This window comes from Homo sapiens, chromosome 1 (assembly GCF_000001405.40).
Source record: "Homo sapiens chromosome 1, GRCh38.p14 Primary Assembly".
NCBI lineage: Eukaryota > Metazoa > Chordata > Mammalia > Primates > Hominidae > Homo > Homo sapiens.
This window is the reverse complement of record NC_000001.11, coordinates 234903036-234929282: the sequence shown is the minus strand read 5'-3', so window position 1 is coordinate 234929282 and position 26247 is coordinate 234903036. Positions and strand designations below refer to the sequence as shown.

The 26247-nt window shown below is 48.3% G+C and overlaps 1 pseudogene, besides 6 other annotated features; it reads right to left on the bottom strand.

Moving 5' to 3' along the window:
• Positions 1694 to 1783: an enhancer, noted in NCBI's record as "active region_2774". NCBI's record gives its function as "activates an Ori minimal core promoter by ATAC-STARR-seq in GM12878 lymphoblastoid cells {active_cell/tissue: GM12878}" and the evidence as "EXISTENCE:reporter gene assay evidence [ECO:0000049][PMID:35858748]".
• Positions 2544 to 2623: an enhancer, noted in NCBI's record as "active region_2773". NCBI's record gives its function as "activates an Ori minimal core promoter by ATAC-STARR-seq in GM12878 lymphoblastoid cells {active_cell/tissue: GM12878}" and the evidence as "EXISTENCE:reporter gene assay evidence [ECO:0000049][PMID:35858748]".
• Positions 8408 to 8907: an enhancer, noted in NCBI's record as "H3K4me1 hESC enhancer chr1:235056123-235056622 (GRCh37/hg19 assembly coordinates)". NCBI's record gives its function as "activates a minimal SCP1, AML or CMV promoter by ChIP-STARR-seq in naive H9 embryonic stem cells {active_cell/tissue: H9 hESC(naive)}" and the evidence as "EXISTENCE:reporter gene assay evidence [ECO:0000049][PMID:30033119]".
• Positions 10908 to 11587: an enhancer, noted in NCBI's record as "H3K27ac-H3K4me1 hESC enhancer chr1:235053443-235054122 (GRCh37/hg19 assembly coordinates)". NCBI's record gives its function as "activates a minimal SCP1, AML or CMV promoter by ChIP-STARR-seq in naive H9 embryonic stem cells {active_cell/tissue: H9 hESC(naive)}" and the evidence as "EXISTENCE:reporter gene assay evidence [ECO:0000049][PMID:30033119]".
• Positions 14819 to 15563: an enhancer, noted in NCBI's record as "OCT4-NANOG-H3K4me1 hESC enhancer chr1:235049467-235050211 (GRCh37/hg19 assembly coordinates)". NCBI's record gives its function as "activates a minimal SCP1, AML or CMV promoter by ChIP-STARR-seq in primed H9 embryonic stem cells {active_cell/tissue: H9 hESC(primed)}" and the evidence as "EXISTENCE:reporter gene assay evidence [ECO:0000049][PMID:30033119]".
• Positions 15564 to 16309: an enhancer, noted in NCBI's record as "OCT4-NANOG-H3K4me1 hESC enhancer chr1:235048721-235049466 (GRCh37/hg19 assembly coordinates)". NCBI's record gives its function as "activates a minimal SCP1, AML or CMV promoter by ChIP-STARR-seq in primed H9 embryonic stem cells {active_cell/tissue: H9 hESC(primed)}" and the evidence as "EXISTENCE:reporter gene assay evidence [ECO:0000049][PMID:30033119]".
• Positions 24795 to 25097, bottom strand: RN7SL668P (RNA, 7SL, cytoplasmic 668, pseudogene; annotated as a pseudogene).

Genomic DNA, 26247 nt, shown 5'->3' with positions numbered 1-26247 from the left:
TTTCTGGGTTAGAGAGTTAACCAAAGTAGAGTTAGGGGCCCAATCTAGGGTGTAGATGCCAGGCCCGCCTGTCCCTGCAGGGAGCAGGCAGTGACCTCCTCTGACGGGGCCAAGTCCCCTTTTCTCCTTGGTCTGAGGAAGGTGGACGATGAAGAAACAATATCACACGCTCTTCACCCTTCTAGACTCAAGCCAATTTCCACCTCTTCCATGAAGCCATCCCTGATCCCCCAGCTCTGAATCATTGCTCAGCCCTCCACGCTGCCATACATTCTAGCAGCCCCTTTTATCCTGCTTCCCCTACCAAAGAGTGAAGGACCCAACTGCCCCTTCTTCAGCAGTCTCTGTAAACCTTAGGCCCTGGGACGCTGCCCTGCTCTTATTAGGAGTGGAGCAGTGTATTAACAAGGGGATTATGTGCTGGCTGCTGGACTCTGGTGAGCAGAGAATAGAGCTGAGGCTGCCAGGTGTGTGCACACCTGTGCCACGGGCCTGCCCCGGCAGCTGATTTACAGTGTCGGTGAGGAGATGCATCCCCATGAAGGGAAAATCCATCAGATGGTAAATACTGTTTTGAGATATTAGCTCTCCCAAGCTAATTAGTTCCTTCCAAGCCCACCTGGGGTTTCTGAGACTTCTGGTTGCCTCCCCTGCTGGCGTTTTCACTGGGGGAGGGGCACGGTTTGGAGGGGGAGAGCTGGGGGAAACATTTCCAGTTTCGTCCCAAGTGTCTAAGCTATATTCTCTGTGGATTCCCTTCTTCTTGCCTATTGGTAATCCATCATTTCCTTTCCGGTAGATAAATAGCTATTCTCTGACATCAACCCACATTTTTCTGTTCACTTCTGCTCCTCATAGTCATGGCATAAACCTGCACTCCCAAGCTCTAACTTGGTTCTTGATGTGTGAAGGCATCCTTCAGAATTCTAAGAGAAATCTCTTTCTCAGTGCAGCCTGCCTTTTGCAAATCAAAAGTGCTTTGGTTTTCAGACTATTTATTGTTTCCGCTAGAGATAGACAAAGCCTACTTGAAAGCTGGGAAATGAAGAACCTGAAGTTGGTGTGCACAGTGGGTAGGAAGTGATCCTGCCACCTTGGGGGCTGGGCTCAGGCGGGTTTGTCACCAGCAGTCCTAGGGCCACCATTCATCTCAGGCTTCATAAATGTGTTCATAAATGTGAACAGACTTGGTAAATGCGACAATCTCTGAGCAGTAGTGTTCTGAGGAAGGGGAACGTTTTTCTGAATTTGCGAACAAGCCGGTGGGGGTCTTTGACAATGGGTACAAGGAAGTAGAGGAGACAGCAACCTTTTAATGCCTATTGACATCCCACTATAATGAAGCAACATGGGGACACAAAGGCAGGGAGAAGGATGGGGTTGCAGTTGTTGCAGAGTCAGGCAAGGTTGCCACAGGGAGGGAGGGACTGGAATTGGGCTTCGATGAGGCGTTGAATGGGCAGATCAGAGGGAGAGGCATTTTAAATAAGGTGATGGTGGGGACACAGGTATGAGGGACGGACATTCATGGAGTGGCAGGGGACAGCCTGATGGTGTTGAGGGTTGGTGTTAGAGAATAAGAGAAGAGTGAGTTGGTAGATTTGGGTCCTTGAAGGTCAGACTGAGAGGTGGTTCAGTGAGCAGTGAAGGACCCCGGAGGAGGACAGCAGCCTTCCAGAGGGAGGCGGAGGGCAGAGTAGAGGTGAGGTGGAGGGCAGAGTACAGGTGAGGTGACAGAGACCCGGACGGAGGCTGGAGAGGAGGCCCTTCTGGGCTGAGGCCAGGCTGGGTGGAGGGCAGTGGGTGTGAGAAGGAGGAGGTCAGAATGAGGAGACATTCAGAAGGGGAATCAACCGGACTCTGGGGCTCCTTGGAGACAATGAGTCTTCACATCTGTGTGGCTGGAAGCTGATCAGACTTCACCAGGAAGGGGGGCCGTGGAGGAGACCCTGTTGGGGATGCATCGGTGGGACTTTAAGGGTGCAGTGTCCAGTAGGCAGCTGGCTTCGGGAACCTGGAGACTGCAGCAGAGTCAGTGCTGTGTGCCCGCCCAGGGGCTGTTTGTGCAGGGCGACCCGGGCCCGAGGTGAGGCCTCAGGGGACAGAGGCACCTGGAGAGAAGTGTGGAGCAGGTGTGACCTGGGAAAGCCCGTGGCGGGGGCCACTCCACGCAAGAGCAAAAGAGCTTTGGAAAGGAAGCATTGCAGTGGTCATATGTGCCGCTCTGCACTTGTTCAATGGGCTGGTGATTCCTCATTGTTCTGTGATGTTGGTTTCAGTTTTGTAATGAGTTTTCATGAAAATAACGAGCACAATGAAAGCCCACATCCCTCTCAAAGTAGCGGAATGGAAAATAGAACTCTGAAGAACCAGCTCTCTTGACGTTCTGAGGCCCAGACATTTCTCTCAGGGTTGTAGAACAACCTTGAACCTGCGTGTCTCCCTGACCCCACCGGACACCTGCCCCGGACCTTCCTAACGTCTAGGGGGTGACGCACCTGAGTGGAGATTCTCCATGCAGCACCAGGGATTTCTGCCATCGTGGACTTTTTAACAGGTGTTCTCAGGATGAGGACTTTTGGGGTGCACCCCCCACCGGCAGCAGTTGCGTTTCTGGGCTTGAGATTCAAGGCATGACTGAGCAGGTGGGGGATGATGCTATGCATTTTTTGGCATGAGGTCTCTTTCAAGTAAATGAAGAGGCCATTTCAGAAACACTGCAGAGAGAGAAATGTGAGCACACATTTTCTGCTCTGGCCACCATGATTCTTTTGCATCTCGTCACCATTTCCCTGCACTTATGCCACCCCCTTCCCCAAGCTCCAGGGCCCACTAACTGTGAGAACAACGAAAAGCATTAGCTATGGACTCAGCATGCTTCCTCCCCGAGAGCTCCCGACAGCCAGCAGAAATCAATAAATTAGGATAAAGAAAATGACATTTAGCTTTGTCTGGGCTCTCCTGTCTGTATGATTTTGCAGGCTTGGTGTGGAATGAAAATTCTGTTTCCTCTGCTCCCCTCCCCTAAACCTACAGACTGGTCTTCCTGCTTCCCTATGAGTGCCTGCTTCAACCCAGACAGTTCTGACACTTTGACTTACTGATCAACTTTTTTTTTTTTTCTTAAACCACAGTTTAAAAAAAGTCAAACACACACAGTCACGGGAAACAAAAACACACAAAACAACAAACCCTGTTTAAGAGCTGAGTAAGCACTAAGGCATGCATTCCCTCCAAGAGCAAGGGCCAGGATGAGAATTCTCGGTTCAGCTGACTAACGCAGCTCACATTTTAATAGTCTGCAGCTCTTTCTAAGCTGTTAACACTTTACTGTCTTAGAGGATGTTTGGGCTGAATACCTCCCATAGTTCTTCCACTGAGACATACCTTCTCCATGGTAGAGAAAAGCAAACAGGAGTGTTGTAGAGAAAGATGAGTCAGGGGCCAAGTGGGTTGGTGCCAAGACAAAGCAGGAACAAACCAGTGTTCTGGTGCCTTCCGAAAGGTATGTGTTTAGCTCCCACTGATAAGTGAGAACATGATATATTTGGTTTTCTGTTCCTGCATTAATTCGCTTAGGTTAATGGCCTCCAGCCACATCCATGTTGCTGCAAAAGACCTGATTTCATTCTTTTTTATGGCTGTGTAGTATTCCACGGTGTATATGAACCACATCTTTATCCAATTCACCATTGATGGGAAACTGGGTTGATTCTGTGTTTTTGCTATCATGAATAAAGATGGGAACAATAGTCACCGGGGACTACTAGACCAGGGACAGGGGAGGAGGGGCAAGGGCTGAAAAACTACCTGTTGGGTGCTATGCCCATTACCTGGGTGCCAATCGTACCCCAAAGCTCAGAATCATGCTATATACCTTGTAACAAACCTGCACAGGTACTCCCTGACTCTAAAATAAAAGTTGAAAAAGAAAAGGAAAAAAGGAAATGTATGTATGTGTCTTCTACACTTGACTGGTCAGCCAGGGCTGTCCTGTCCAAGCCTCTGTTCTCATCTCTCTCTTCACCCTGACGGCCACGACACGTCCAGAGCTGAAGAACAAAGTGTGCTTGAGGTCGTCTTGAGCGCAGGTTCCAAGATGATTGTTAACACACACAAAGCCTTCCGGACCCCAGCAGAAGGGTGACATTTTCTTCTGGTAGAGTTTGTAATTTAAGATAAGGCAATAGAGCCCGAAGCTGGCAGTGTGGTGTGCACGCCAGCCACATAGCAGCCTCACTTCTCGAGAGGAATCACAGTTTCTGTTTCTAGGTCTCTGGATTTGTACAGCCCAGGCCAGACACTGTGAGGATGCTGGATGGAAGTCTCTGTATAAGGGGCCGGTCCCGGAAATGAGTCCGTCATGTCTGTAGAGAGGTCACCAACAGCTGCCGGATATTGTGCTGCCTCTTCTGGTGGCACACATTTGCTTGGAGGAAAATGCACACTTATTTTAATATTAGATAAAGAGGAGGAGTTCTTCTCCACCAGTGAGCCCGACTCCAGAGAGTTTCTGGAGCCTTGAGGATGCATTTGTTGAGCACTTAGCAAGGGGCTGTGTGCTGTTGGCAGTGGACAAGGCCAAGGGCCTTGAGGCCTCTACTACCTAGGGCAAGGCCAGCAGATGTCTTCTGCAAAGAGCCTGATAGTAAATGGCATGGCTGTGTTCTAATAAAACTTTATTTACAAAAACAGCTGCTGGCCAGATTTGGCCCATTTGTTTGCTGCCCAGATTTTTCCTCTGAGCTTCTCAATGGTAAAAACAAATTCTCACCCGTTTTTTGTCTTCCTAGTGCCTAGCACGAGGCCTGACCCATGGAGGGCCTTCGGTGGCATGTGCCGAGTAATACTCCGTAAATGTCTTCCAAGGAAAATGCTGTGGCTCTCTAAGTAGATTTACAATTTGCAACTTGAGCTGCACTTGGAGTTATGATGCTAAGTTGTTGAAAGGACCGTAGCATCGTGTGTGTGTATGTGCACACACAATGTGCACACGCATCTTAACTCCCCAGGTATGTGGGCAGTGTACAACCCAATTCTGTTGGTCTTTTGACTCTTTCCTTTCCTTCTCCTTCTCTGTTCTTCTCTTTTCTCCTCCTCTCCCTTCTCTTGCCTCTTTCCCTAAATATTCATTATGTACTCTCTGTGTACCAGGTACTATGCTAGACACGAGGGATGTGAGGAAGAGAATCAAGACCTAATGTCTGCCTGCAAGGAGCTTATAGTCCAGTAGCTGAGCTGGCAAGGAGAAAAAAATTCTTGCCCAGGGAGCAGTGTGCACCAAGGGTGCGTTGCACTATGCTGGGGAAATGTGTTCATGGGGGTGGTGCATGGAAGCATGAGAGACAGAAGATATTTGCTGGTGGGGAGGGCGGGCAGAGACACTTTGTGCAAGACGATGCAGTGTGTTTGGGAAAGGTCAGGCATTGGTGTAGCTGGGGATGAGGAATGAGATGGGCCTGGGCCAGCAGGAGGCAGGATGAGGGGGAGGCCCGCCAGGGAGAGCCACTGAGGGGTTTCAGCTGGAAAATAAGGTGATCAGAGCTTCCTGTCTTAGACGGATGCCCTGGTGGTTTGCTGAGGATGGACAGAGAAAGGCAAGCCTGCAGGGTGGGTTGAAGAGCACTGCAAGGCCAGATGGAGGTGCTGAGGTCAGGAAACGGTGCTGTCACCGTGGGGATATGGAGGAGTGGGTGGGAGCAAAGACCTTACTAAGGTTGAATCTAGAGGACTTGGAATCTACATAACTGGTAGTAGACATTTTGAAGCAAAAAAGTAGGTAAGTTGAATACGTGCAGGGAGTCAGGGAGAGAAGAAAGATAAGAACAATACATTTGGGAAAGAAGTAGGGGGAGGATGAGGAGTTGAGTTGGGGAATGTTGAGTTTGAAAATCTATTGTCCAGTAGGATGTTGGGCATTTGGATTTGGTGCTCACAGGGGAAATTTGTGCAGAAGATATTGGCCGTCAAAAGCAGCAGGTGGTTGGAGTTGCAGGATGGAGGCACCCTCTCAGGGAAAAGGTGGGGGGGTTGGCGAGAGAAAACTCTGGGCAGCACCGTCACTTCCAACAGCCATGGGCCATGATGGGAAAGTTCCTACTGGAGGGAAAGCATGGGCAGCATCATCACCTCCAACAACCACGGGCCATGATGGGAAAGTTCCTACTGGAGGGAAAGCGTGGGCAGCATCATCACCTCCAACAACACGGGCCATGATGGGAAGGCTCCTACTGGAGGGAAAGCATGGGCAGCAACACACCTCCAACAGCATGGGCATGATGGGAAAGTCCCCACTGGAAGGAAAGCGCAGGCAGCACCATGGAAGGAGAGCAAGGGCCCTTTTTTGAGGTTGTCTGCATGTTGCTGGCACAGAAATTAATCGCCCTGGCTGAGGAGAGCCTCCAGTGGGAGGCGAGCCCTTGGATTGGGAAACCCATGGACAGAAGGAAAACAGAAGACCTTGACCATAGATTCCAGGTGTTTCTTCCTTCCAGTAATGATTCCTGGTCTGGGTTAGCAGTGGGCCTCTGTACATGCCTCTTTCTCCCTTAAGCAATAAAGGAATAGGGCTGTCGTTTTCCCAATGTTGAACCAAAGTGTGTGTTTTGGGTCATCAGCCCTGTAGGGAAGGAGAAGCCCCTGAGTGCCTTGCCCTGCCTTGGGGAGGGTGCAGCTCTGGACACACAGGGGTGTCCACTTTAGTTCTGCTTTTTCAAACTAAGGAGTGAACTTAACAGCCTTTGATAATTGTCTCAGCTTTTAAGCCATAGATTAAGTTTGAAAGCCATTCTGCAAATACATGGTCCTGGGTGATTTTCTGTTTATAGGACCAAGGCAGTAACGTGTGTCTACTGTTTTGATAAATCTTTCTTATGAAAGTCTGTGTAATTGGTTATAGACATTTTGAAGCAAAAAAAGTTGGTAAGTCCTCATTAAAGGAGGAGAAAACTAAACTAAATAGACAATACAACGCTGAGGGAAAGGAACTGGACCAGACAATTTTGGAAAAACATGATGCAGGGGCAGCCTTTGTGTGTTTAAATAAATTTTACTGAGAAGACCAATAGTTTAAACAGGTAAGTACTGAGAGAGCCTTTCCCTGGAGGTCTCCCTTCCCCATCCCACCTGCCACCTCCCCTCAGGAGTTACCCGTGGGCCTTTGCACCCTGTACTTGGTAGAAGTCTATGTCTGTCCTGCTAACTTTCCCAAATGCCCAGTGAGCATTATCTCCAGGCCATTCATTGACATCTCTCAACCTAGACGAAAACTTCTGACACATGGCACGTTAACCTGCCTGCTTCCGTCTAAACCTTGCATCACAGAGAGACTCATTTGTTTCTAAGGAACATTCCAGACAATGCATTTTCTGGCCTGGGACTTGGTTGACCTCTGGCTTGAGTTGACCTGAAATCCTGTGTCTGCAGGAAACAGTCACAGCTCTGGGCTTTGGGAGGAAAGAACCCCAGAGACGCGTGCATGCTCTTTGGGTATGTGGATGTTGACAGTGGCCTTGGCCAGGTGCCCTGGGAACTCCGGGCACATTTACATGCTTCCTTGGGTGGAAGAGAAGGAGGACAGAAACAGATCAGGCAGGTGGGGGCTCCTAGGGACCTGAATCTGGAGAAAGAGTAGAACTTTTAGCTCTTCAAGTCTTCCAGAGACTCAAGGGTCAACACTCAAAAGACACAAATAATTCGTGCCAGTAAACTTCACTAATTATGCGACTCCTGACAATTCTACTTTGGAATTTGCTCGTGAAAAGAATGTCCTAACTTAATAACGGTGGATGCAGGAACTCAGCTGGATGATGACATTCATTCAGAGGCTAAGGTCCCACTGAACCACTCGGGGTCACCTCTCATAGTCTGGCAGCTAGTCACAGCCTAAAGATAACAACAACGGCTTTACACGAATTATCGTTTTGAGTCCTGAAATCTGTGTGCACTGTCACCAGCCTTGAGGATGTGCAACAGTGATTCTAGTTAAGTGCTTGCTCACAGGCACTCACTGTGTGTCTTGCACTGTGTCACGCTCTAAGCGTGTTCAATGCCTCATCTCATTTAATCCTCACGACAACCCTGAGAGGTAGATGCTCTTGTTTCACCTGAAACCAGATAAAAGCCATGGTGGGCATTTATTTTTTGGTGGAGACTCACTGCAAGATGGTTCTGGTGTAAGCCACAATCTGGGTTGTCTCAGCAGGCCCTGGGACCTGGATGGAGCACAGGTGTCATGGACCCACTTTCTTTCCCAGGAACTGGAACAAAGAAGGCAAGAACATACAGGCCGCTGGCTCCTGGGTGAGCACAGGTGCGGGGTCCCGGGCTATGTGTGTGCTCACACCCTTATAAGCATGTCCTCAATAGTGCTGGAAGGGACCAGTGGCCCCTGAATACAAACTGATCTAGTCTCCGAAGGTAAAAAAGGTGAAAGACAGCCTCGGATGGCCAGTGTGGCCACTGCCTTGCTTCCCTAACCTGCCCAGTGTTGCTCTGTCCTGAGGAGATGCCGTCACCTACCCAGGTTCCAATCTGTAAAGAGACTCCCAAAGAATTCAGAAGTGAATGTCACCCACCAAGCCGCTCAGCTGAAGGGGGCTGTTTCTGCACAAGGTCCCAGGACAGAAGGAGGTAGCCTGACCTGCACTGGCTGCTTCTTTTATTTTGATTTTTTATACATTATTTTTTAATAGGGACAAAGTCTTCTATGTTGCCCTGGCAGGTTTCAAACTCCTGGGCTCAAACAATCTCCCACTTCTGCCACCCACAGTGCTGGGATTACAGGCATGGACCACTGTGCCCGGATCGGCTGTCCCTTTTGGGAAGCTGGAGGGAACTGAGGTTCTGTGTGAGCTCTGCATGAATGGAAGGGGCTGGGAGGAGGCGTGGCTGTGGCAGTAGCAAGTGGCAGTGGTGAGGGCTGAGCAGGAAAGTGCTGTGGGGTGCTAGGAGAGGGGCCCCCAGTGGTGCCAGCTGGAGGAGGGTCCAGCAGAAAGAAGAACGGCTGGGTGGGGTGGTGGTGAGCCCAGCCTGGTCAGACCCAGAGAGAGGTGGCAGCTTTGGTCTCTGGGGACATGAAGCAGGGAACACCTAACTCCTCTGACAAGTACGCCTGTGTATCAGAAAAACTACTAATTTTTATGTGAAATTGGGTCAAATGTGGGTTTAAGACATTTTAGGCCAGGTGTGGTGGCTCACGCCTGTAATCCCAGCACTTTGGGAGGCCAAGGCGGGTGGATCACTTGAGGTCAGGAGTTCAAGACCAGCCTGACCAACATAGTGAAACCCCATTTCTACTAAGAATACAAAATTAGCTGGGCGTGGTGGCAGGCTCCTGTAATCCCAGCTACTCGGGAGGCTGAGGCAGGAGAATCACTTGAACCTGGGAGGCAGAGGTTGCAGTGAGCTGAGATCATGCCATTGCACTCCAGCCTGGGCAACAAGAGCAAAACTCCGTCTCAAAAGAAAAAAAAAAGACATTTTATAAACCCAGGAGGATGAAATTGCAAAATCCTCAAAGCATGTTTCTCTCTCTTCCTGGCCATAGCAGTGGGGATAAGACAGGCAGAGAACAGGAGTGTGTCTATGTCCAGAGCTTTCTTCTAAAACGTTTCTGCACCACTCCTTCACAGCAAGACCACACAGAAAGAGAGAGGCACGAGGACTGAGGGATGTGCCCTCAGGTTACCTTGCATTTGGCGGGGTTCTAGGTTCTTGGGTTCAACTCCCAACTCTGTCTGCTTTTCTGTGTAGGGCAATGATCCCAGTAGAATTTTTTCAGTATTCAGAAGGAAGTGAACTTCCAGAGGTAAACAGAAAATAGCTTTTGGCTGCAAAAGATAGGAAGGATGTTCTGGCTTTGGGCTTCCAAGCCAGCCAGCACTGCTCCTGGGCCTCAGGGGGAGGGCAGGACATAGGCCTGGCCCCAGCAGCCAAAAGAAATGGCTCCTCCAGGGAGGGGCAGCTGGCATGCAACTCGGTGGCCACATGCGTCTGTGAGGCAGGACACTGCCTGGAGCTCATGTGGGCATTAAGACATGGGGAGAGTCACCTCCCTCCCCGGTGGTAGCAAGCTGTCTGCAGTGTGCGTCCTGAGTGATGCCTGCCCGGAAGGGCGAAGGACTCTGTTCGGGGAATTCGCTGTGTGTCTCTCAGGCTACGTCCCGGGTAAATGTGCCCGAGACCAATGGAGCATGAAGGTGAGGAAAGAGGAGGCAGAGCTGCCCAGGTAAATCAGAGGCCAGGGCTGTGCAGGATGGAGGGCACCAGGCGTGGGGGGCCTTAGTGGCCAGGAAGGCCTGCAAGGGAAAGGCCAGAAGCTGGAGGGCAAGAGTAAGGGGGGCAGGAGCAGGAAACGCAGGAGTGTCAGGTGGGTGCAAAAGCCTTGGCCCCGAGGTGGAGGGTCTTAGAAACCAGAAACAGGATATGAGAAAGGACGGAGGGGACGGGGCCTCTTTTCCCCCAGAAGGAACAATGGTCATTCTTTAATTGAAAGCTGCCATTCCCTGAGAGAGGAAAGGCCTCTCAGTGTGGGGGAGGGGGCCCAGGGACGGGAAGGAAGGGGCCCCAAGCCTGCCTGACCCAGAAGAAAGCAAGAGGCCTCTGGAATTGCATTTGGAACTCGATACGGCCTGTGAAAGGGACAGGCAAGCTTGCACTGATGGCTTTACCGAAGTGTGACTTTCCCAGGCGCCACAAACTTAGCCTCTGCCCCCACCCTCTGTGGCCTCCTCCAGGACTCTGGAGCTGCAGGCTGGGTCGGACGCCTCAAAGCCGTCCAGAGCAAGGGTCTCACAGGCTGCGTGGTTATGCGGTTCTGTAAGACTTGCCATCTACACACACGGGAAGAAGGATTTCCCAGAAAAAATAGAGGAAGCTGGCCAATACAATCAAACTCACACAAACCCCGCCTCTTCCCAAATAGACGCCTATCTCCAAAACAATCAAAACTGCCCCATTAAATAACACTTGTTCAGTACAAAGGAAGTACAGCATGATGGGAATCACACACCGCTTCCAAGTAAAACATTCCCAATTGTTAGGCATGTAACAATGAACAAAAAACTTAATGGCATTCGCACGGGAGAAGCACAGTGCTTGGGGCAGGCCCTGCAGGACCCTTGAGTGCCGGTCGTCCAGAGGGTCAGGGGTGGTTCTCCCCGGGTCGGCCCCTGGGAGAGGCGTGCTCATCACACACAGGTCCTCACCTGCTCTGCAGGCAGCGACCTGGGCATTTTCCATCTTACCTACCTCCGGTCTCGGCCCTTCGGCCCCCTCAGTGGGAGGCAGGCCGTTTACCCACTGCAATTGGTGGCACCGAAGACTTCATTTGGCAAGGAGAATGGTCACAGGGCCCAGGGCAGCTGAGAGGAGGGCACGTTCTTCAGTTCTGACCGGAAGGAGGGCTTGGGGGCCCTCAGTGACAGCAGTGTTGTCATTTGTATGGACCGACTGTCTATGTCCCTGCACCAACCCCAGTTCATATGTTGAGGCTCCAGCCCTCCATGTGACTGTGTTTGGAGATTGGAGCTTTACGGAGGTGGCTGAGGTTAAGCGAGGTCATCAGGGTGAGCCCTGATCCGATAGAGTTGGTGCCCTTCGACGCTCCTCTCTCTCTCCACCATGTGAGGACACGGGGAGAAGCAATTGGCTGCAGGCCAGGGGGAGCCCTCACCAGGGCCCCAATCAGCTGGCACCTTGATCTTGGGTCCCCCAGCCTCCAGACTGCGAGAAAGAAATTCCCGTTGTTTAAGCCACCCGGCTTGGGATAGATTTGTGATAGCAGCCTGTCTTAGTCCATTTTCTGTTACTTATGTTGAATTACCTGAAACTAGGTAATTTGTAAAGTAAAGGATTTATTTTTTACAGTTTAGAAGGCTGGGAAGTCCACGGTCAAGGGGGCACATCTGGTGAGAGCCTTCTCTGCAGCGCCCCACAGCAGAGCAGGGCTTCACACGGTGAGGGGGCCGAGCGGGCTTGCTCAGGTCTCTCTTCCGCTTCTCATAAAGCCACTGGTTCCCCTTCCATGATAACCCATGAACCCATTAATCCACAAATGGATTAATCCATTTATGAGGGCAGTGCTCTCATGACCCAATTACCTCTTAAAGTCCCCACCTCTCAATACTGTCATATTGGGGATTCAGTTTCAACATGAGTTTTGGAGGATATGTGCATTCAAACCATAGCACAGTCTTAGAAGACTAATACATCATCCAATGACAAATCTGAAAGCCAAAAAAAGACAGGAAGTCTCAGGGGACAAGAGGACCCTAAAGGCCATCTCAGGCGTCTGCCTCTCCATCCGGTGATGGCTGCCCTTCCAGGCCCCACCAAACATTCCCCTAGGGACCTGGCAAGCTAATTCGCTTGGCGTGTGTGTATGTGTGTCAAATTTTATGGGTTTTTCTTTTCTTTTCTTTTCTTTTTTTCTTTCTTTTTTTTTTTTTTTTTGCTGTAGTAGAGGAATAGAAGCCCACGGATGTCCACACCCTTCTTTATGCCTTCATTCTGTCTTTTTTTTAGAGACAGAGTCTTGCTGCGTTGCCCAGGCTGGGGTGCAGTGGCACGTCTTAGCTCACTGCAACCTCCACCTCCCAGGTTCAAGTGATTCTCCTGCCTCAGCCTCCTGAGTAGCTGGGATTACAGGCGCTCACCACCACCATGCCCAGCTCATTTTTGTATCTTCAGTAGAGATGGGGTTTCACCACGTTGACCAGGCTGGTCTTGAACTCCTGACCTCAGGTGATCCATCCGCCTCAGCCTCCCAAACTGCTGGGATTATAAGTGTGAGCTACCTCGCCCGGCCCATTCACTCTCTCTTTTTGTGGGGTACCCCTCATCTGTGGGCTAAAGTCAGGTGTGACCCTACCCCGGGTCACGTCATGTGCGACCCTGGGAATCTTCAGGCAGGCAGTAAACAGCAGGGAAGGGATAAATTCTTAATAAACTGAATCCTGTTTTTATGCAAATGTGCCTGCTATTACAGAATGAGAGTGCAAGAACTACAGAATATTTATGACAGAGAGAAGCAGGCCTGTTTGGAAACAGACGTTTTATTAGGTTCCCGTGAGGCACCAGCTGCTCTTTCAACACTTCTATTTCGGGGCTTTATGTAGAAAAGTGATCGCTCTATAAATAGCAGGGCAAACAAAGTTAGGAAGGTGGCTGTTGACATGTGGGGAGGCTGAGGCCCAGAGCCAGAGGACACCGTGTGGCTCTTTCCCCCAGCCTTTAGGAGTGTCCAGGCTAGACTGTCCCCCAAGAGTGATCAGCCTCGGCGACTCAGGAGTTCCAAGCTCTTCTCTTCAGCACCTCCTCCCAGCCTGCTTCTGTCTACCTCCCATTCTCCTTACGCTTTTTCATCTTTCCATTGTATTCTTTGTTTTTTTTTTGGGAAATAATTCATACCTTGGAAAAGTTGCAAGCATAGTATATCTTTCCTGTGAATTTATAAATGAGCATTTTGCTTTCTCTCCCTCTAGGTATAGATATTATTCCTGTTTTTTGCTGAATAGTTTGAGATTAAGATGTAGACATTATGGCTCTTCACCCTTAAATACTTTAGCAACTCCTAGGAATAAGGACTTTCTCTTACATAACCACAATATGTTTACCACACCCAATATTGTTGTCTAACATAAAGGCCAGATTCACATTTCACCAAAGGTCCCAATGTTATTCACTATATTTATATGTCCTGTAATCTGGAACAACACTATAGGCTTTCTTGAAATGTCACCGCATTGATGTTTGGATCAGTTAGACTCTGACAGAGAAAAGCAGAATGCTTATGAAGCTAAAGGAATGAGAGATTGATTAGAGGGATGCAGGCTTGCCCCATCATGGGAGAAGCTGGGAAGTCAAATCTGGGAGGACACTGTGTGGGGATCAGAGGCAAGTGTTTGCTTGGGACCACCCAGGGGAGCAGGTGAAGACACCTGTGGAGGGCTGTTGCCTTTGATCCAGGTGTTTGGCCTGAGGTCTCTACTGTAGGTCAGCAGGGTGAGTTGTGGGGAGGAGAGAAGAGGGAAAGTGGAGCCTATGAGGACACAGTGGCCATCTCTGTCCTCACCACATTGGTGCCCCCCACTACAGAGCTGCACCCACACCCGATCCAGCACTTGGACTGACCCAGGTGCAGGTGCACCTGAAGCTGAAGACGAGGATGCATGGAAGCCAGAGGTGATGCCAGGCCAGCTGTGGCTGATGGCATGGTGACCCAGCGGAGAGTGGCGATGCATAAGCCTTAGCGAGCCCCTCCTGTGAGCCCCTCCACCTCTGCCTCCCAGCTCTTGTACATATTTCTCCCTTAGCCGGTCCTAGCCATTTGTCCTCCAGTGAGAATGAGTCTGATAAATGCAGGATGAGTGGACATCTTTGTAAGTTCCCTTCAAGTCTCAGCTCACACGTCAAAGGACACGCTCCCTGGCCAGGCAGAGCCCCAGCCATGCACCCACCGTACCTCACGCTGCCCTGATCATGCATCCTTCATCTTATTGCAGCTCCTGGTTCTCTGTGGAATTGTGAGCCTTCCCCGGGAGGTCAGGGCCCAGTCTGTCCTGTTTACAGCTGTATCTCCAGGATCTAGTCCAGTGCCTGGTGCAGAGTCCTCACTCATAAAATAAGTGAGAAATGAAAGGATGGACCGCTGGCTCTGCTTTTCTGAACACCATCTTAAGGCTGCTTGGGCGATGACTGGTGCTTTTTGGTTCTCATGTTGAGGAATGGCTTTGTAGGCAGGATCTAGTGGATTAGACCTGCCCAAATCTAACCATCTTCAGTGGCGACTTTGTTTTGGGACAGAATTGTTGGAAGGAGGCAAGGTGAGGGTGGTGGTGGGACCCTCAATTCCATAGGCCGATCACTACTCGGGGACAGTCTGGCCTGGAAACCCCTAAAGGAGGCAAAGTGGGGGAGGTGGGGGGTGTCCTCAATTCCAAGGTACAAAAGGGCCAATCAATGTAAGTATGGCTTAAACAAGATGGGAGTTTATTTCTCCCACATAAACCAAGTCCAGAGGGAAGTGATCCACCAAGTCCTCAGGGGCCCAGATTCCCTAGATCCTCAGCTCTGTCCTTGTTAAAGTACCTGTCTACAAAGCCATTCCTCATCCTCGTGGTCGGAGATGGCGGCACCCACATTTCAGGCAGCAGGAAGGAAGAGGGGACAAAGAAGAAACGCCAAGTGCAGCCACAGGGCACTTCAGCTTACTTGCTGCTCCCTAGCCCTTACTACATGGCCACATCTGGTGGCAAAGGAGGCTGAGAAGGTGGTGTTTATTCTGGAAGGCCGTATGCCCAGGTAGAAATGCTGCTGCCATGGAGGAACAACAGAACGGCTTTGGCGGGCCACCTGCAAGCAGTGCCCCGCTGTGTTTTGGAGAAGGCCCTGCGGCTTCCTTCTCACTCCCTCTTTCATATGCAGAATGGGCAGGAGGAGATCGGAGGCCCCCCGGTCCTGTGTTCTCACACCAAGGAGGTGAGGATGATCAGCTTCAGCTTTTCCTAGAAACGGGGCAAGTTGGTAGCCACGTGTTGCCATCGGATTATTTGTACTGAAAGGCACGAGCTTGTCCATAATGCAAATATGAACGAGGAGGGAGTGGTTGGCATTTAAATACATTGGAAAAAAACTAAATGCAACAAAAACACAACTACCCAAAACCCAAGGGAAGTTTATTATGATTCAAAGGCCATGGTGAGAAGAGAGAGAAGCCTGTGTTTATATGGCCACGGGTTTATCATGGCCGATATGTGGCCATTTTTGCTGCATTGCAATTGAAGAGTGCATTTACTCTACGGTGGGAATCTTAAATCTCCTTTCCAAAGCATGGGTCTCCAGGGAGAGTGTCAAAGGCAGAGAACTGCTCCCAGAGGGCAGATTCGAAGCTACTTGTAGCCGAGTTTATTTTGTTTGATTAAGAAATGCCCAGCCGAACATTTCCTCCTGTTCTCATGCTTTTGGACTCGAGTTCGTAGAGAGTGAGTTTGCCTCTGGAGAGCACATCCAGGGAGATATGAACAAAGGATCCTCCCTGCCGCTTGTCCCTTTGCTGCCCTCTGTGGGGGGGTGATGGCTTTGGGGCCCAGGTGAATCACCCTAAATTCCAAGTGGTCAGCGAGGGGTTGGGTGAGGTGAGGTGTGGGAGAAGCGAATGTCGTTTGGTAAAGGAGGTGCAATGTGCCGTTGCCTCAGCCAAATTCCACTTGAAAAATGAAATGCTGCTGTTTACTCAAATCCTGGGGGCCTGGGCTATTTTTATTCCGGCCATTGCCACTGTTGCCTGGGAGCTGGCATGCACAAGTGTGTTGGGCATTGTGCTGGGCATTGGCAGGGTTGGGGCTTGTCTTAGTCCATTTTCTGTTGCTTATATCAGAATACCTGAATTTGGGTAATACATTCCTTTTTTTTAAAAAAAGGAATTTGTTTCTTATAGTTATGGAGGCTTGGAAGTCCCAGGTGGAGGGGCCGCATCTGGTGAGGGCCTTCTTGCTGCTGGGAACTCTCTGCAGAGGATGACGTGTGCAGGGCATCACATGGTAAGGGGCTGAACGTACTAGCTCAGGTCTCTCTTCCTGTTCTTAAAAAGCTACCAGTTTTACTCCCATGATAACCCAATAACCCACTAATCTATTAATCCATGAATAGATCAATTCATTCATGAGGGCAGAGCTTTCATGACCCAATCACCACTTAAAGGCCCCACCTCTCAACACTGCCACACTGGGCTTACATTCCAATATGAGTTTTGCAGGGGACAAACACTCAAACCATAGAAGGGCTTATTTTATTTTATTTTTTTTAGCTGTATCTCCTTCCCTCTGAGCCCTTATGCTCTTTGGCAGGTCAGAGAGGCAAACACAGGAATGTGATACAAGTCCTTCAACGAAGGGAATAAAATAAAATCATTAGCAACCACCATTAATTTTGTGCATACTATGCTCTAGGTCCTGAAGACACAGGTCTCAGTTCACCCTCTGACAACAACCACAAAAGGCAGAAATTGTTTTCTCACTTTGGAGATGAGGAGAACGAGGTGGTGGATAGAATGTGCCTTCTGGTCTGTGTATGATGGGATTGGGGGGTTGGGGTGGGACAGTCAAGAGGAGGAGCAGCCTAGTCCATTAACACTGTCAGTGGCATTTGTGCAGGAAAGGGAAGACGCTCCCCGTCAAAGGTGGGGGCTTTGAGGGCTGTGATGGGTGGAGGGCAGAGCGACATCCCAAACAGTGTCTCCTCCGCCTTCCACACACAAGGCAGCCCGGGGCAGCCCTCCGCCTTCCACACACAAGCCAGCCCGGGGCAGCCTCTCTACCCTTAGAAGCAGCCACAGTGCTTGACAAAGGCCCTCTAGCTGGCCCAGCCCCTGGTTTCCTGTGGTATTGTTTATGCCAAGACAATATTAGCACTTTAGCTTTGGGTTAGAATAAAGAATTCACCTTAGAGTGTGAGGTCTCCTTTCCTGAACGTTTCCCTTTGAGTTCACACCACCAGTTTAACCCTTCATCATTTAGATCTGTTACTTTTTTCATGTCTACTGGTTTCTTATGCTCTGGAGAGGAGGAGGCACACAGTCCCCAAATCCTGTGCCTGGTATAGCACCAACAGCAGAGAGCAACAAATTCTTATAGACCGATTGATAGATTTAATAATAAAAAAAGTTACTTCCTTACCTTGTGGTGTCATCTACAAAGCAGCATCTTTGTTTTTTTCTTTTTTTCAGTTTTAAGTTCCAAGATACATGTGCAGTAAGTGCAGGTTTGTTATATAGGTAAACATGTGCCATGGTGGTTTGCTGTACCCATCAACTCGTCACCTAGGTATTAAGCTCAGCATGCATTAGCTATCCTTTCTAATACTTTCCCTCCACCCCACTCTACCCCCAAACAGGCCCCAGTGTGTGCCGTTTCCCTCCCCATGTCCATGTGATCCCATTGTTCAGCTCTCACTCATAAGTGAGAACATGTGGTGTTTGGTTTTTCTGTCCCTGCGGTAGTTTGCTGAGGATAATGGCTTCCAGCTTCATCCATGTCCCTGCAAAGGATATGATCTCATTCTTTTTTATGGCTGCACAATATTCCACGGTGTATATGTACCACATTTTCTTTATCCAGTCTATTATCGATGGGCATTTGGGTTGATTCTGTGTCTTTGCTACTGTGAATAATGCTGCAGTGAACATACATGTGCATGCATCTTTGTAACAGAATTATTTCTATTCCCCTGGGTATATACCCAGCAATGGGGTTACTGGGTCAAATGGTATTTCTGGTTCTAGCTCTTAAAGCAGCATCTTTATTTCAATAATGATTTTTTTTCTCCTGTAGCTAAAAAATACATGAAACAGTACATCTTTTGCTTTTGCTGAGCTATTCATAGCCCCATGTATTTCCTACTACACCGGCCTGTGTATCTCCCATCCTAGGAAATAGATTCATGTAAGCTGTGGTTGCACTGAGCCACCACCACACAGACTCTACCCTGTTGCATCCACAGGTACAAACCAGTGAATACTCATTCATCAAATAATTATTTTTACATCTCCATGCATGAAATAGCTGGCAAGTTCTGTCCCAAGAAGCCTTTGTTTCAGGACTTTCCCACATTTTCTTCCAGATGTTTTCTTGTTTCAGTGAATCAAAATATTTCTAATGTGGCTACTATGTCCTACAAGCAATATCGAACATGTATAAATCATGGTCCCTGCCCTTAAGGAACTTACAATCCAGTTGCAACTTATAATCTGGTTGTGAGGCCAAAAATAATCAAGAGCACACAAAATAACCGAGAATCATAAAGACAATACAATATCAAGACCTCCGTTGCAAACTGCAGGTTGGAATCCACTGGTGGGTGGGTTGTAAAATCAGTTTAATGGGTCACAGTCAGCATTAAAAAAATAGCTAGAATAGTAGAGGTCAGAGTATATCCAATGTAGTAAGAATAAGGACTCTTTTGTGAAAATTTCGTTCTGTCTTATGTGTAAAGATAATCTGTTTCTGCCCAAGTGTGGTGGCTCACACCTATAATCCCAACATTTTGGGAGGCTGAGGCAGGAGGATTGCTTGAGGCCAGGAGTTCAAGACCAGCCTGGGCTACATAGCAAGACCCCATCTCTACAAAAAATTAAAAAATTAGCTGGGCATGGTGATGCCTGCCTGCAGTCCTCGCTATTCGAGAGGCTGAGGTGAAAGGATCGCCTGAGCCCAGGGGTTTGAGGCTGCAGTGAACTATGATTGCACAACTGTACTCCAGCTTGGGTGACAGCGTGAGACCCTGTCTCCTAAAAACAAAAACAAAAACAAAACCAGGATAATCTATTTCTTACTGTGGCTCATGGTGAAATGTTTGAAAACTTCTGATAGCAGGGCCTAGCTTGTGGAGGAATGCCATATGAAGGATTCTTACCTTGTGTTTGGGCCATGGACTCTTGAGAGACATTTGAAAGCTACTGGGAGTCTCTCCATTTCTGGCACACATATGCCCGGCATTGTGCACATGATCTTGGTAGATCTTGATGGACTTTGCAGCCTATTCACAGTCCTGGTTAAATCCCTCTGATCTGAACCAGGGAGAAAGAGGAGGCTGGAGGAGATAAAGGACTGATATCTCCCAGGGTCTTGGATTTCTGATGAGGAGCAAATGCCATCCATCTCCCATAGGAGATCAGTGAAGGCTTCCAAGGAAGGGAAGCTCACTATAAAATTCATATTTTAGAAAGATTGTCCTGGAAGCACTTAGAGGCCAGAAGTCCAACTTAGAGGCTATTGTCACAGGTATGTGAGTCATGGTGGAGCCCAGGTAGATAGGAGGGCACAACTGTGAGAAGTTTTTAGAATTAAAAAAATCACTGGACTTGGTATTTGTTTGGATATGGGGAGAAGTGAGGGAGGAGGAGTTTGGGGTAGCCCTTGGGTTTCTAGCTTTGAGTGGACAGTGGTGTTAATTGCTGAGTCTGGAATAAACCTATAAGGAGGTTTGTGGAAGAAAAGGAGGTTAGTTTTGTAGTTAAGGGATTGCATGGGTATATATCCAGTAGCCCAGTGTATCCTCCTAGCATTCTTTCTGCAAATAGAAGACTCTGTGACACTAGAGAGCAACTGTCAAGTTAGGGTGGGGTGGGGGGCCGAGAGGGCTGGAAGAGGAGGGGGCTTTGTACTTCGTTTGCCTTTGTGTTCTTTGGCCAACAGTTTGGTGATGGCCACAGGAGTCCCTGAAAGGCTCTGAGAGCTCTGTTCGCAATAGAAATGGGAGGCGAGGTGCATTGGGGTGAACTGGAACAGAGAGCGAATGATTCTTGAGATGAAGCTGGAGCCTCTGGAGGCAAGGGGCCTGCACACACAGACTGGCTTTGGAAATATAGGAGAAGGCGGCCTCGGAGGGTGCTGGGAGGAGACACGTAACAGCCACAGTGGAGAAGGCCCAGCAGGCAGCGGCGAGTGGCAGGGGACTGTGTGTGCACATCCAGCCCCACTTGGGTCTGCATTCGGTGGGTTTAACAGCCCCCCTCCATAAGCACCTGCCAGGAAGGGCCTTAACCTTAGCATCGTGTTCCCGGCCTGTGTCCTGACTGTGGCTTGCTGTGCTTCTGATGACCCAGCCACCGAGCTCTTGCTGATGGTCTGGCCCTGAGCCCTAGTGCTTGGTGCTGTCCATTGGTCCTGACCCCTTGCTTCCCCTCTATCCCCTGCCTATAGACCCACATTTGCTCTCATACCCTAGACTGAGTTTCCTCCAGTCTGTCTGGGTCACACCTTGTCTCATCCAGGGCCCTGCCTAGCCTGGGCTCCTGTGGCCTCATTTCTGCTGGATTCCATTGAGTCTACCAGCAGGAAACAGACCCAGGACCTCCAAGCCTGTTTCAGGCTCAGGAACCTGAACTAACGATGTCTGTTTCAGCTCTAGAGGAGAAGATTGCAGTCAGGAACTTAATGCTCTTTCACTCTTGATACGCACTACTATGAATCTGGGTTAGAGTCCAATTTGTATGTGATTATCTGGGTGAACTCCTTAACTGTTTGTAATACCACTAAGTATTTCCAGATGTTAGCACGACACGCATACTGTGCTGCTGTGATGGGGCATTAAGTGCTGAAAGTTTTTTTTTTTTTTTTTTTTTTAAGTAAGAAAAAACACATACAGGGAAATTAAATCTTCCACCATAAAGATCCTGCATTATTTGCCAACCACAAGAGTTTTTCCTGGGCCGGGACCTGTGTCTCCTCCCAGCACTTATTCCAGCTGCTCAGGCATTCTGTGATAAAGTTACTCATTAGCTCCAGATACTAGCATTACCAGAGTCCTGTTCAGCGGTTCAGTGATTTGGCACCCAGAAAAAAGCAAAGGCAATTTCCGAATTCTAGCAACCCCCCCAAATAGAACCAAATAATAGTCCTGACCTCATGAGGCTCTCATGAAACTTAAAGGAGACAAGGCGTAGAAAGCACCCAGCACAGAGTCTGGCATCTACCGAGGTCTCTGTCGAGACCGGCTCTCCCTCTCTTTTTTTTTAAAGAAGGCCATGAAATACCAGACCAACAGATTTTCACATCAGCTGGGACAGTGCCATTGAAGCCTGTGACATGGGTTTATCAGTAGTTGAGAAATTGATCAAGAAGATGCTATGCAGGAAAAGAAACAGTTAGAAAAAACAGGAGTTGTGGAGCTAGAAGACTTCGGTTTGAATCTTAGCTTTGTTTCTTCCTACCTTCTCAGGCTCAAGGTGTTTTTTTGTTTGTTTGTTTTTGTTTTTTTCCTGCATTTCTCAGGGCAATGGTTTCATTTTTCCTATGTAACTTTTTCTTTAAGATGAGAAACAGGTCTGATGTTCCAAAGCTCAAAGTTTCAAACGCTGGAATATACGGGTGTCCAGGGAGCAATGGAAACAGTGGTCACAGTGCTGGTCTGGGAATCTGAGTGCCTGATCCCACCAGAGGACTTTGGAAATGTATGGTTCTGTACTTAGGAAGCGGCCAGCCTTTCTGGAGATGGCTGTGATTCTGGGAGAAAACAGCTGAAGAAATATAATGGTTAGGTCAGGACCCACACCCAGGCCACCAGGCTGGCGAACCCCAAGGCCAAGTGTATCCTTTGCTGGAAAATGAATTCTCAGGGAGGAAGCATGTGGTTGGATGATGTTCCTTCTTGTCTTCCCAGCTTGTAGAATCAACCAGATGTTTTTCCACACAGAATGCTAGTTCTTTAAGACACAGGCTGGGTGACATGTTTCCTTAGAGTGACAATATTTCCTTATAGTGACATTTTCCTTGACTGGCTCCATGCAGAATAGGAGGATATAGAATAGGAGGAGAAGGTTTCTGCTGTGGCACCTGGAGTGGTACTTGGTGCACGCCAGGTGCTAGACAATGTGTGTGACAAGGATGCACGTGAAATGCCCCCCCCCGAGTGCCTCAGTGACTGCAGTAAAGTGGCCCTTGTCATGGTCCTCTTCCTCTTTCTGCATTCAGTCTTCATGCTGGGCGGCATGAAGAGAGAAACAAAAACCACCTTTCTTGCCAGGGTCTTAGTACCATTTTGCTGCTCTTATCTTTCAAGTAAGGGAGAACATCTAAGAAACTTATCACCGTATTCATTCTAGACTGTTAGGGATTTAACTCTTCACCTACTTCCCTGAGTGGTCTGGGCTGGAGGTTCAGAGCTAAGTGGGCTGGGTGTAAATCAGGATTCCGTCCCTCACTAGCTGTGAGGCTGTGGGTAATTCACTTCATCTCTCTGAGCCTTCATTTTCTCACCTGAAAATTGGGCATGCTAATACTTTTCCATCTCCTTCCCAGGGTTCACAGGATTAAATGAAATTATTAACACAAAGTTCTTGGCCTGGTAGGGGGCATGTACGTGGCCACCGTCCTGGTGCTGGACACTGGGGTAAGAGTTTGGAAGTTATTGGCTGGGCAAGGTGGCTCACGCCTGTAATCCTAGCACTTTGGGAGGCTGAGGCAGGTGGATCACGAGGTCAGGAGATTGAGACCATCTTGGCTAACACGGTGAAACACCGTCTCTACTAAAAATACAAAAAAAAATTTAGCTGGGCGTGGTGGCATGCGCCTGTAGTCCCATCTACTCGAGATGCTGAGGCAGGAGAATCGCTTGAACCCGGGAGGCAGAGGTTGCAGTGAACTGAGACCACCACTGCACTCCAGCCTGGGCAACAGAGCAAGACTCCATTTAAAAAAAAAAAGTTATTGACATGATTTTCTCTTTTGCCTTCCATCGTCTATAACCTTTATGCCAACTGGCTGGTGCTAGAGTAGAGAAAAAGATTAGGATTTGTTACAGAACAAAGCTCTCCACCATTTGTTTATCTCATTTCAAAACAGGGAGCTGATTGAAGGCAGCCTTAGAGCTTGTATTTTAGACAAGGAGTGATACAATGTTTAGCAGGGATGCACTAAGCCAGAGCCGGGGGAGTGGTCTTCCCTGGAGCAGGCAATAACAGGATGCATTTTCTGCAGATAATTTTAAAACAAGCGTAAAATCAACCAAATATTGAGTCTACTTTTTATTATCACCAAACACAAGCAGTGTTAGATAATACCTGTGATAAAAGTCATCTTGTGCAAAAAGTTATGCTCTAAATTCTGAACAATTGATACAGTTACTGTTGAGCTGTAATAAAATAGGGAGGTGTCTTAGCAGTTTCTAAATGTCTTCTTTAATAAGGAATTGTATTCTCTGCGGAAAGTAACGGGAAGTAATTTGGAGAACATTCAGGTATGCGGGTTGATTCTCCCAACACATGTATCCAGAACTATGTTTCATTTTGGGAGTGAATTTGTAATGAACTGGAAGCATTAATTCTGACTGTGGGTGTAGTTTATGTCTTCCATCCCTGGGTACAACACATTCCTTTACAAAATGGTATATCAATTTAATAGAATATGATTCAATTGCCAACAAAAATAAGGTAGATTTATACAAACTGATATATACTATAATAGAGTACCTATGGTACAATCTCCAATATATAGTGTTAAATGAAGTTAGAAACCTGCCGAACATTTAACAATATTTTAAAAGGTGATGTGTGTGCATGTATATGCGGGTAGACATACATACACACATATGCTTTGTACATGAACAGAATATTTTTCAAAAGACAGATAAAAATTTCTGTGGATTCAGAAGGAGGAATGATAGTTTGTAATTGTGAAGACAAAAATATAAACTTAAACTACTTCAATTCCGTCAGTCTGCATCACTGCTTGAAGATTTTGTTTATGTTAAAAATTTAACACAGTGAAGCAGAGTGTGAATTGCAAGGTGTAATATTTTTGTTTGGTGAGTACAAATTTTAGTTCATACGTAAAATATTTTTCTGTGTCTGAATAGTATTTTCAACGCTGGCATTTATTTTTCTTTCCAAATTTTTAATTGTTGATTTTAAAGATAAAGAAAACATCAAGAAAGTAATGGCCATGACTGATTATTATGTGATCTTTACGTGAATAGTTTTGTGGCATGCAGAGGTTGTTAAATGTTCTGCTCTGGGTGTCCGATTCGCTGTGTGCCACGGACTTTTAATCAAAATTTAAAAAATGCTTTTCAGGCATTCTTTTAATTTTATCCTCACCAGATTTGCTTGGAGGAACAATTTAATCAACATTTGCAAATCGGTCACCTTTGGGGTCATGCTAGAAGGCTTTGAGTGATTTCAGGAGCACCCACCTTATTAATCCTACCAATGTCATACGCAATCCCATTTCCAGCAGCAGCAAGGAGCTTCCTACTTACTGATACTGTGATTCCTAGAAAAATATTTTATTCTGTTTTTTAGACATGGGGCCTCGCTATGTTGCCCAGCCTGGAGTACAGTGGCTATTCACAGGCACGATCCCCTTATTGATGGACATGGGAGTTTTGACCTGTTCCGTTTCCGACCCGGGCGGGGTCTGTTCACCCACCTTAGACAAGCTGGTGGTCCCTGGCTCCCAGGAGGTCACCTTAGTGATGCTGAACCTAGTGTGGACACCTGATCAGCACAGCGCACCGCAGCCCAGAACTCCCGGGCTCAAGCGATCTTCCTGCTTCAGCCTCCAGAATAGCTGGGATTACAGGCATGCACCCCCATGCCCGGAAAAATTCCTTAGAGATGAAAGCCTAAACATGTAAATGCTGTTGAGGCAGCATCTTAGGCGGCTGGAAGCTCTGCCAAAGGAGCAGGGAACATCACTGCTGGGTGGCCCTCTCTGTTTGAGTGAGGGGAGAATCTGAGGAGCCCACCAGGGAAGTCAAGATCCCGAAGTAGGGCAGGGAGCTCTTCCCTGGTGGGAAAGTGGGTACGAGAAGAGGAAATCAGGAGTAAAGCCTCCAAGGACCTCTCTCATCTTCCTAAGGTAGATCCTATTTCTTCAAGTGGGCAGGACTGTGCTTTGGCCATGAAATTGAAGGCAGAGCCACTTCACACAATGTATGGCAGGTCTTTCTTCAGCCCCTTCCCTTGGTGAGTGGTGCATCTACGATTATAAAGGACCCCTTCCATCTACTTTCTGGAACTGTATTAGGAAAGGCATCGTCTTGTAGCAAGGCTTCCCAATGGATGGACTGAGGCCTGTGCCAAATGCATTTCAGCTGTGCCAAAATTCTGTGACTCCCACCTCCTTGGGGCCAGCAGCAGCCAGAAGTCCTGGGCCAATCACCTGCTTTGAACAGCAGCCTCCCATTTACCCCTGCGTGCCACAGAAATATTATTTTATACCTGTGCCATTTTGTGTAAAAGGTTGAGAAGAACTAACCCCAGGGGCAAAGACAATACTATACCTACTGTTTGGGAGAAATGAATCTGTTATGTGTAGATAAGAAAAAGGTGGTCTGACCTGTTTCATTACTTGGTGAAAATGATCTTTGGTGGTGCTATTGCTTCCAGATGAATTTGAGTGTTTTGCAACCTGGCATCCTGGGGGGTGTGTGTGTGGCTGGCTGAAAATGCATCCCCTTGTGATGTGAAGCTCAGCTGTTGTTCCCCAGCCTGGGTTGTCATACTGCCTTCTGCTACCCCACACACCTCTTCACTTTCTCTTGCTGTGAAGCACTCACAGATACAGCAGCTCGGTTCCCATGGCGGTCCTTTTTCTTCCAGAAACAAAGGAAGGGGGGACTTTGGTGCCCTGTGATGCATGCCACCTAAGGGATATAATAATAAGATTTTTCAGGCCCCTGTTTCTGGAGTGATGGCACCCCTGTGTTTGAGGGTGATGGTGACAGTTTACAGTTGTGTCGAATTGTGAC